The 11,882-nt window shown below is 45.4% G+C and overlaps 1 annotated feature.

Moving 5' to 3' along the window:
- Positions 7,614–7,783: an enhancer, noted in NCBI's record as "experimental_36725 CRE fragment used in MPRA reporter constructs". NCBI's record gives its function as "activates a minimal promoter by MPRAs in K562 erythroleukemia cells, with activity observed for the non-introgressed 14:75795775 variant allele {active_cell/tissue: K562}" and the evidence as "EXISTENCE:reporter gene assay evidence [ECO:0000049][PMID:34662402]".

Here is an 11,882-nt window from a genome sequence, read left to right on the forward strand (position 1 = left end):
CTTTTTAAATTTTTATTTATTATTATTATTATTATTTTTTGAGATGGAATTTCACTCTTGTCCAGGCTGGAGTGCAGTGGCGAGATCTCAGGTCACCACAGCCTGCACCTTCTGGGTTCAAGCGATTCTCCTGCCTCAGCCTCCCAAGTAGCTGGGATTATAGACATGCGCCACCACACATGGCTAATTTTGTATTTTTAGTAGAGATGGGTTTCACCATGTTGGTTAGGCTGGTCTCGAACTCCTGACCTCAGGGGATACACCTACCTCAACCTCCCAAAGTGTTGGGATTACAGGCGTGAGCCACCGCACCTGGCCCAGAGATAACATGTTCTCTACTGCATTATATGATGTTTCCTTTGCCTGGACATCTGGTCCCATTTGGCCTGGCCCTTTGGTCTCAGCTGCCCTGACCCCTCTAAAGTTTACTGCATTATATGATGTTTCCTTTGCCTGGACATCTGGTCCCATAAGCCCTGCCCCTTTGATTTCAGCTGCCCTGACCCCCTAGTGTTTAGGTTAGTGTCTCACTACTGTGCCCCAGAGCCCTCACCAATGTACCTCTCAAGAAATGATAGTTAAATTTTCAAGAATTTTGCAAGCTGGTTGTTAAATTCAGCCATTATTAAACTTTCAGCTATGGTAACAAATACTTAAAGCTCATCACTTCCTAATTATTTTACTGTATTTTCCTATCACTTACACTGTTGAGATCATTTACAGCTCTTGTATCCACGTGGCGGAAGCACTATATAACTTGTAGGATACTGTGGATCTCTTCCCAAATCTGTGTTCAGTGGTAGCTTTTGGGACTATTTACACCATGAAGACTGGCAAATGCTATAAATCAGAGATCGATTTGTTGTTGCATTGATTATCTAAACTTAAAGAAGTAGTGGAGAAAATGTTAATGATGCAGGTTAAACTTACAAGTAGCTGTTACATTGTGAATAGCATGAAACAATCGAGGAAATATTCTTTCGGTTTCCAAAAACTATTATCCAATTCAGCAAAGAAGCACTGACAAATAAGCAAAGTTCTGACATTCACTTAAATTTTGCTTTTGTCTTATTAACATAAATAATATCAACCAAGATCCCATTAGAACAATACCTGCTCATCAATTATAACGATAGCTTGTCCACAGACCAGATGTTTGGCAAAAATTACGTACTGTGAAAGTCAATTGATTATGTGGAATTTACAGTAAACACTGTTGTATATTTTGTGATCATTTATAAATTATATGCTATAATCCTTTAGGTCAGTAAAATCCATGAGCGTATGGACATACACAGGTATGTTGCTGGAGAGCTGGTTGTTAAACATTTACTAGCACACCACTGCCCAGAGTCTACCGTTCTGTTTCCATCATGGAGCTTACCTACTGTGCTCTAATGGCCTGTTTGCTTGCCTGTGTTCCCCTCAGGGCTGTTGCTCTCTGTGGGGAGGGTCATTTGCAGCTCATCTTGTTCACCTGTGGATCCCCCAATCACTAGCATAGGGCCCAGTGCTCAGGAATTACTCAGTAAATCCTTGTTGCATGGATATGCTAATACAAAATCCTCCAGGTCCAATGGGAAGGCCCCAATTCCTGCCCTTTGTCAGTCTGTGAAGCAGAGATGGCCACTGAACCCTGGGGTCCTATGTGATTGGCCCTAAAACGGGCAGCCAGTACAGGCTTTTCCTTATTTCTGCTCTTCTCTCTAGACCCAGGGAATGCCCCAGTGCTGAATGGGGCCCCCCAGCTGCACTGTCCCACCTGCAGCCAGAGAGCTGTGAGCCACTGGGAGTGTGAGAATTTAGGATGCTGAGTACACACAGGTAGTACAGGTAGGTGGGTGAGAATGGGATACAGCCAGGCACAGGGTCAGGCTGCACACCCCTTGAGGGCAGGGGCAGATCTCATTACTGTCTATCTGCAGAACCTGTCTTGACTGTGGCCAACACAGCCCTGCAAGACCAGGTCCCCTTCCTTATCTGCTCCCCTCTTCTGACCTCACCTTCTCTCCCACCCCTCCCTGCTCCAGCTGTCCTGGCTCATGGCTGTTCCTGCAGCAGGTCATACATCCTCCCCTCAGGGCTTCTGCACCTACTGTTCCTGTGCCTAGGCCGCTCTTCCCCAGAAATCTACATGGCCTGCTGTTGAAGTCAGGTCCCTGTCCAAATCCCACCTGCTCGGCAAGGCCATCACTATCCAGCCCGCCCTGCCTTCCTCATCCCGGTTAATATTTCCTTACAGCACTTTTCACCCTCTGTGGGATCAGGCGCTTGTTTAGTTTCTGTCTTTTCCCATGAAATTGTAAATTCAGTCAGAGCAGCGATTCTTTCTGTTCTGTTCCTCACTCTATCCCCAGGGTCTGGAACAATTTAAGTGGATGTATAGTCATCGCTTAATGAGTGTCTGCTTACTCACAGCCTAAGAGAAGAAAGGATGTGTTGTCAGAGAAACTCGGTACCAAATACAGCTCTCTGGTTTCCTAAATCTAATCTGATTCCAGTCTGTGTTCTTCCCTGGTTGGTAACCTGAAATCCTGTATAGCTTTTCTTATTTCTCTGGAGTTAGCTCCCCAGCCCATTGGGAAGTGTCACCTCTACTCCATGGGAGCCCGAAACTCCAGAACCATGGCCAGGCAGCACATGCAAGTAGCTCCACCAGGCAAGCCAGCAATCCAGGCAGCCTCTGAGGCTGAGGACACACATTGACTGGGCACGCTTGGCCTGGAGAGGTGTTCTCTCTGACCTGCAGATGCTTTTATTTTATTAGGTTAGTTATTATATCAACCTAATATTTTATTAGGTTAGTTATTATACCAACCTAATAAAATAAAGGCATCTGTAGGTCAGAGAGAACACCTCTCCAATTATTTTAATAGCAAAAACCACAATTACTTTTGTACCAATCTAATATTTTATTTATTTATTATTTTTTTGAGTAAGGGTCTCACTCTGTCATTCAGGCTGGAGTGCAGTGGCATGATTTCAGCTCACTGCAACCTCCACCTCCCAGGTTCAAGCGATTCTCCCACCTTAGCCTCCCAAGTAGCTGGGATTATAGGTGCACACCACCACACCTGGCTAAATTTTGTATTGTTTGGTAGAGATGGGGTATCACCATGTTGGCCAGGCTGGTCTCGAACTCCTGACCTCAAGTGATCTGCCTGCCTCAGCCTCCCAAAGTGCTGGGATTACAGGCATGAGACACCACGCCCGTCCCCAGCCTAATATTTTAAAAAGTAAACCAACATTCAGAAATCGAGACACCTCACAGAAAAGTCTAGAGGATCTGGCAACCATGGACCTGCATCCTAGCATGGCACAATCGCTGAGCTGAGAACTAGCCCTGTTGTAGCTGGGGCTCTCCAATTTGCCATGGTCCTCACTGCTATTGAAACATTTGCTTCGGTGATGCCCAAAATAAAGTACACATGTGGTAGCTTTTCTCTTCACTCTAGCTGTGGGGCTTGAGCAAAGCTCTTAATTTCTCTGTCCCCCTTCCTCTGCACAATGGAGTTACCAATGCTCCCTGAGTCAGTGGTGGAGGACTGGACAAAAAAGTCCTTGGGAAACAGAAAGTATTCGGCTCCCTCCCCGGTGTACTGCTATTCCTCTTCGTCCTCCTTTACCCCGCTTCCCAGACCTGACTGCTTCTATCTGTGGAAGCTGCTTTTTAAACACCCTGTCCTATGCTCTCAGCCCAGCTGGGTCCTTGCTTAGCACCTGGCTCTGCCTTCTCACGTGGGGAAGTGGGGAGAGCTGCCGACAGCCACTTGCTGCTGCTGCACCTGCTTCAGTGTGAGGTCTCCATTGGGGAAGGATGAACATGTCATGGTGGAAGGTGGCTGGGATGCAGGAGGGCTCTGAGTCCTAGCCGGGCTTGACCTCTCAACAACTAGAAATGAGAGTTGAGTAACCACCTCCCTCAGATGACCACCAGACAGATGGCTGCCACCAAAAATTCTTTGCTTTTTAACTCTAAGATCCTTGTTCTAGAACCAGGTGTCAGCACCTGTCAGCAAAGTCAGCTGGGTTTGCTCAGCTTTGCTGGGAAATAGCCACTTTTTCCCTCTTGGGGCTATGAAGCAAGTGCACCTTCTGAAAGGTTTTACGCTTTTACTGCTTCTTTAAATACAGCATTTCTCCCATTCCAAAATGAATTGAACTTCCAATAGATTTTCTAAGATTTTCTTTGCTTTGATTATAAAAGTAATTCATTCATGTTCATTATAGAAAAATTTGGGAACTGCATAAAGACACAGAAATAAATAAAACCTCCCATACTCACTGTGAGTATTTTGGTTTTCATCATTCCAGCTTTTTTTTTCTGTATACCCCCAATCATACCTAACTATCCATCCATTCATTTCTATATCCATGTATATTTTTCCACATATACCTGTTAGGATCTTATTATACATGCTATTTTATTTTATTTTATTTTATTTTATTTTATTTTATTTTATTTTATTTTATTTTGAGACAGGGTCTCACTCTGTTGCCCAGGCTGGAGTGCAGTGGCGCGATCTTGGCTCACTGCCACCTCTGCCTCCAGGTTCAAGTGATTCTCCTGCCTCAACCTCCCGGGTAGCTGGGAGTACAGGCGAGTGCCACCGTGCCTGGCTAATTTTTGTATTTTTTAGTAGGGAAAGGGTTTCACCATGTTGGCCAGGCTGTATACATGCTATTTTATAATACACAGCATGAGGCCTGGAAAACAGTAGGCAACGAATAAATATTGCCACTGCTAATAAGTGTCACTTACTGAGACTTACACTGTGCCAGGCATGATATTTAACCTTAATAACACATCTGTGATATGAGAAGTGTCCTATTATCATTGTTTTATAGGTGAAAACTTTGAGGCTTAGAGAGGTTATGTTACTTGTCAAAAGTTCCAAGGGTAGTCAATGAGAGGGACACATACCCATTCATATATTTTTATATGAACAAAATACACATTTATTGGTTTAAAACTTTAAAAAAAAACTTTAAAAAAAATTGCTTTAAGGGCCAGGCGCAGTGGCTCACGCCTGTAATCCCAGCACTTTGGGAGGCCGAGGTGGGCGGCTTACCTGAGGTCAGGTGTTCAAGACCAGCCTGGCCAACATGGTGAAACCCCGTCTCTACTAAAAATACAAAAAAATTTAGCCAGGCATGGTGGTGGGCACCTGTAATCCCAGCTACTCAGGAGGCTGAGGCAGGAGAATCGCTTGAACCCAGCGAGGCAGAGGTTGCAGTGAGCCCAGATCTTGCCTGGAGTGCCTGGGCAACAGAGCAAGACTATGTCTCAAAAGAAAAAAAATTGCTTTAAGGAGTGGTCTGCTGCCTACTCCACATACAATTTTGACTGAGGAAGATGTAAAAACATGTTCTGGTCTTGGAGGCAGGAAACCTGGTTCTACAACTGACTAGTTATACAATCTCAAACTGGTAACTGGACCTCCTTGGCCCTCAGTTTTCTCCTCTCTCAAATGAGATTTGTGTGAGGAGGGGAAGGGTTAGCACTGTGCTTGTCATATAGGAGTGTTTTACATGCACTGTCAAATAAATATTGCTGCCAATAGGAAGCATCAAGAAACTGCAAAAGCACATAGCACAAAGCCTGCCTCCAAAGGCTCCTCTAAGGCTCCTCATGGGGCCCACAGCAATTATGATCTTGGTCAGTGGAGTCACAGGAAGATTGCTTATTAATTTGTCTTTAAGGAATGGGTGATCTCTAGATGTGCCCAGCTCCTAAAATGTCACATTTCCACCTCCAAAGCCTTTTTGGTTCAAATAAAAATTAGTGACAGGAAAATGAAAATACACAGGATACCCGAATTTAAATAAAATCGAGTTGTATTACAGTTAGGGATCTCTCAGTTCCCCTCCTTCCCTGTTGGAGCATTCACTTCTCTGAGTGCCGTTTTTTTCCAAGTGTCAAGTGGCAGTAATCATTTCTCCTCCTAAGGACAGTGTGGAGGCTAAAAACAAGTTATGTGAAGGTTTCAGCTCAGGCTCTCAGTCCTAAAAAATAAGACTTATTATGAGAGGGTATAGACGAGGTGGTCTAGAACACAGGTTTTGAGGTAAGAGTTGGGTTAAAATCCTGGCTCTGCTGTCCACCAGCTCTGCCACCTAGGGCACGTTATTTAGCCTCTCTGAGCCTACCTCATGGGGTTTGTAAAGATTAAGCAGTGGGCCAGGCACGGTGGCTCATGCCTGTAATCCCAGCACTTTGGGAGGCCAAGGCGGGTGGATCACGAGGTCAGGAGTTCGCAATTAGCCTGACCAACATGGTGAAACCCCATCTCTACTAAAAATACAAAAATTAGCCAGGCATGGTGGTACACGCCTGAAGTCCCAGCTACTCAGGAGGCTGAGGCAGGAGAATTGCTTGAACCCGGGAGGCGGAGGTTGCAGTGAGCTGAGATCGCACCACTGCACTCCAGCCTGGGCGACAGAGTGAGATTCTGTCTTTAAAAAAAAAAAGAGAAAAAAAGAAAAAAAAGGCCAGGTGCAGTGGCTCACATCTGTGATCCCAGAACTTTGGGAGGCTGAGGTAGGCAGATCACGAGATCAGGCATCTGAGACCAGCTTGGCCAGCATGGTGAAAACCCATCTCTACTAAAAATACAAAACAAAAACAAAAACAAAATTAGCTGGGCATGATGGCAAGTGCCTGTAATCCCAGCTACTCGGGAGGCTGAGGCAGGAGAATCTCCCCTGAACCTGGGAGGCAGAGGTTGCAGTGAGCTGCACTGCACTCCAGCCTGGGCGGCAGAGCAAGACTCCATCTAAAAAAAAAAAAAAAAAAGACTGAGCAGTAATGTATGTATGTAGGGCCTGGCACAGAGCAGGCATCCAACGTCCAATATTATAATGAGGTCCCCTTTGCCTTCTCTTGATCACATCACTCTTTCACCTTTTTAACCTCTTGTAAAGCTGAAACGGCTTAAAGTGGCACTTGATTATCCACTGCCTTGTGCTATGCTCTTGTTTTTTGTCTCATGTGCTTAACTCTGTCTTTTTTTCATAAGAAACAAGACAGACCCTTAAAGGCACCATCTGGGACACATGCTTCCTTGATATTCCTTCCAGGGACTCAGGTTTGTGAATGCTCAATACATCTTTGCTGCCTTGAATTGCATCGGACTGATAGCTCTTTCCTCTCTGATTTCTCAAGGTTTCACCCAGATTGAGCTAGAACTCTTGGGGAAAATTGCAGCAGCCTGCCCCAGGTCCCCAGAGATCCAAGCTCTTGGCCTTGCTGAAAATGACAAATGGAGAAGCCAAATGGTCTGAGTGCCTCCATAGGCATCTGACAGCTAAGGAGAGGGGCCGTGTAGCCTCTCCCATCCCCTCCCAGCCACCTGACCCGACAGCAGTGTCAGTGGCTTTGTGGGACAGCTGTGGCCTTGAACGGCACCAGAGCTTAAAAGGCTTGCATTATTTACTTAGCTACTGTTTTAATGTCCAGTTCAGGTTCTACTGACGTCCCAATAGGTAATGGGGAGAAAATGTTAAACAAACATGAAAAAAGTGAGGAAGCTGTAGAGTAAGAACCTGGCTGTGGATTTTCAGCTTTTGTACTGTATTTAGTTTCTCCAGCTGAGCATAAGTCATCAAAAAGCAGAACTTTCCACCCTCCAATTCCTCAATTCGAATAGTTTACCACTAAAAGAGGGGCTAATTGACCCATTGAAGTAAAATAGTTGACCTTTGGTATAGGGCAGAACTGTGGGGTGGGCACACTAATTTGTATATAGTGAGTATAGTTTTACAATTCAAGGCTGTTTATGAGTATTGGGCTACTTTTTAGAATCCAAATCTTTTTTTCTTTTAGAGGTTAAGTCATTCATTTATTCATTTATTAAATATTTATTGAGCTAGAAGCTAGGTCCTGTGAATACAAAGTTTACCTGTTCATTGGGCAAACATCCATTGGATACCCTACATACAGGCCCTGTAGCAGGGGCTGGGGGTACAGCTGTGAAGCAGAAAGAGGAATGGGCCCTCCCATCTCAGACCTGGTGAGGAATAAGAGGCACATGAATGGCCCCTTATAATATAGGGTGGAAAGTGCTCAGAGGGATCTCCTAGGGTGTTAAGAAAGTTCTTAGTAAGAACCCAGAGCTAGACTTGGGAGTTCAGGAGGAAGCAGCAACTAAGCTAAGGCTGACATAAGCAGAAACTGTCCAGGTGAGGAGGTAGATAGTAGAGAGGTGGGAGGGAGAGTTGTTCCAGGCAGAGGAGAAATCATGTGCTGGAGGAGATAGGCTGAGTTATGCTGTAGTAAAAGAAAAAGATGCAAAACTCTCAATGGCTTCACATGAAAAAAGTTTATTCTCACTTGCAGGGAGTCTGATGTGCATTCAGAGCCACTGCCCTCCATGGGGTGACTCAGTGATCCAGGGTGCTTTCGTCTCAAGACTCTGTCATCTCAACATGTGGCTGGGGAGGAAGAGACAGAGAGAGAGCGAGAGAGGCCAGGTGCGGTGGCTCACTCCTGTAATCCCAGCACTTTGGGAGACCAAAGCTGGTGGATCACTTGAGGTCAGGAGTTTGAGACCAGCCTGGCCAACATGGCGAAACCCCATCTCTACTAAAAATACAAAAATTAGCCAGGCATGGTGGCACATGCCTGTAATCCCAGCTACTCAGGAAGCTGAGGGAGGAGAATCGCTTGAACCCGGGGGGCAGAGGTTGCAGTGAGCCGAGATCATGCCACTGCACTCCAGCTCCAGACTGGGTGACAGAGCGAGACTCTGTCAAAAAAAAAAAGAAAAAGAAAAAGAGAGAGAGAGAATGATTTAGCCTTGGAGTGATCATCCAACTTCTGCTCATGACCCATTGTCCAGAACCAGTGACCCAGTTCCATCTAAATGCTACAGGGCTAGGAATGTAGGGGAGCCCATGTGATATTTGGTGGGCAGTGCTGTCTGTGCCACAGAAAGAGTAAGGCATGCTGGGAAACTGCAAGTCCTTCCAAGTGGCTAGAGCTTATTGAGTGTGTGTGTGTGTGTGTGTGTGTGTGTGTGTGTGTGCGTTGGGGATTAGTAGGCAGGGTTGGAGAGAGAAATGATAGGGAGTGAGGTGAGTTGAGGTCAGTCACAAAGGGGCTTTGTAAGCCATGTTCAATGTTGAAGAATTTGAACTTTAGGGCGACATGGAAGAATTTTATTAGGATATGATAGGATTATATTGGCATTTTAGAAAGATCAGACTTTCATATGGAGACTTGGGATGGAGGGGGCAAGATTGGAGAACAGCGAAGAAGCTTTTGCTGTCATTAGGAGAGAGGCAATGGTGCCCTGAACAAGGAAGGGGCTGTAGGGATGAGGGAGGTGGGAACATTCAAGGCTTATGTAGGAAGTGAAATCAGTAGCTGAAGTGCAGGAGAAGAGGGGTGAAGGGTAGACCTCGTATTTGTGGGTTGAGCGACTGAGTGGAGGGTTCTGTTTACCTGCTCAGGCATGGCAGGAAGAGTAAGTTTAGGGGAAAGACAATGTGTTCAGTTTTGGACACGGTGAATTTCAGGGGTCTGTAGAACACCCAAGGGGAGAAGTTCAGAAGGCATTTGCCTTGTTCAAGGCATTTGGCTATAAGAGTCTGGTGCTGGGGAGTGTGAGGTTGGTGATGTTGATTCGGGAGTCATGAGCATATAGGTGGTATTTGAAGTCCTAATGATGGAAAGTTGAATGAAACATTATCCCTGGGCCAGGCGTGGTGGCTCATGCCTGTAATCCCAGGATTTCGGGAGGCCAAGGCAGAAGGACTGCTTGAGCCCAGGAGTTCAGGACCAGCCTGGGTAAGATGGTGAGACCCTGTCTCTACCAAAATTTTTTAGAAATTAACTGGATGTGGTGGCACGTACATGTGGCTATTTAGGAAGCTGAAGCGGGAGGATCCTTTGAGCCCAGGAGTTTGAAGTGCCAGTGAGGTATAATTGTATCACTCTACTCCAGCCTGGCCAACAGAGCGAGACCTTGTCTCAAAAAAATAAAAATAAAAAATAAAGTCCCTGCTCTCAAGTAGTTAAAAGTTTAGTGTGGGGTGGGGGCTAGGCATGCAAGGAACAATTGGATTTCAAGGTGAACTGTATAACACAGAGGTATGTACAGGGCTCAGTGGTGACACAAGGCCTGGGAGGGTCAGAGAAAGCTTTAGAGAAGAGGGGCTGAAACTGAGTAAGAGCTTGGCAGGTGGACTGGGGAAGGCCAGTCTATGTGGAGGGCAGAGCAAGTGCAAAGGCATGGAGATGCCAAAGCAGCACTGCCCAGCCAAGAAGTTCTGTTTTCTGGAGCATTTCAGTGTGCTCATCTAAGGAAGAGGCAGCAGAAGCACTTGAGATCTTTGAGGAAACACTTGTCCATCAACATCTGTGTAGTGCGTGTTGAATACCCATGGCCTAGCTTTACACAGATGAAGGGTTTGTGATAAGGTGGCATTAAAAAAGAAATTAAACATTTTATTTTATTATTATTTTTTGTTTGTTTTTGTTTTTTGAAATGCAGTCTCACTCTGTCACCCAGGCTTGAGGGCAGCGGCATGATCTCCGCTCACTGTAACCTCTGCCTCTGGGGTTCAAGAGATCCTCCCACCTCAGCCTCCCAAGTAGCTGGGATTACAGGCACCCGCCACCATGCCCAGCTAATTTTTCTATTTTTAGTAGAGACGGGGTTTTGCCATGTTGGCCAGGCTGGTCTCAAACTACTGACCTCAAGTGATCCACCCACCTCAGCCTCCCAAAGTGCTGGGATTACAGGCATGAGTCACTGCACCTGGCCAAAATAAATAAATAAATAAAATAAAAATAAACATTTAAAAAGTCATTTTTAATCATTTTTTCAAACACATAAAAATGTAGAAAAAATAACACAATAAATCCATGTGTATTTATCACCCAGGTTCAATAATTTCTAATGTTTTGCCAATATTTGTTCATTAATTCATTTCTCCCTTTTTGGAAGGCTGGAGAATTAATTTAACTTTATATTACGGAGGCAGTAGACAGAAGAGTATAATGAACCCTCATCTACTCATTACCTAGTCCCAAGAAATATTGACCCAAGGCCATTCCTTCCCTATCCATGTCCCATCTGCTTAATCCCCTCCCATATTACTTTGAAGCAAACTCATGACACCATATCATTTCACCTGGAAATATGTTAAAGAATGTATCTCTAAAGATAAGGACTTTAAAAATACCACTGTAATATCATTGTCACCTGCAACAAGATGAACACTAATTTATCAGGTGGTGTTTTGAAAACTCAGGGGAGGTGTTTGGTAAAGCCACAAAATCCTGAGATCTTGCATAAATGTGTTTCAGGAAGCAATTATGGATGTCCAGGTTGGTATAGACCCGATGTCTTCAACAAGACTACACTGCATAAGCCAGGGTGACGGGGTGGAGAAGGAGCCAGAGTGAATTAGGGACAAGTAGGGTTGTGGTGTAGGAGGCTGGGTCAGAGTTTTAGCAGCCAAGAGAAGGGGGTGCAGGGTGCACAGGGAGCTTCCTCAGCCCCACTCAGTGCTCCAGCAGGCAGGAGGCAGTCGTCCAAAGGAGATAAAGTGAAGAAGGGATGGAGCAGGAAGGAGAGAGAGGTGTAAGGAGGAGGAGGTGTATGCAGAGAGAGGAGCTGATATTGAGGAAGAAAATGAGGAGGAGGAGAGCAAAAATAAATAACGACTGAGCACCTATGACCCACCAGATGTCAGGGGCACTACTTCTGCCCCCCTCCAGATTTCCAGGAGTGGGGCTCACCCCAAACAAGCTTGACCTCTTGATCGTCCTCTCAGGGAGTTGCTCTATTGGTGGGTCGAGGTTAGGGACATGTACTATGAAGGTATAAACTGTGTGGTTTTTTTTTTTGAGACGGAGTTTCTCTCTTGTTGCC

Source organism: Homo sapiens, chromosome 14, assembly GCF_000001405.40.
Source record: "Homo sapiens chromosome 14, GRCh38.p14 Primary Assembly".
Classification (NCBI taxonomy): domain Eukaryota; kingdom Metazoa; phylum Chordata; class Mammalia; order Primates; family Hominidae; genus Homo; species Homo sapiens.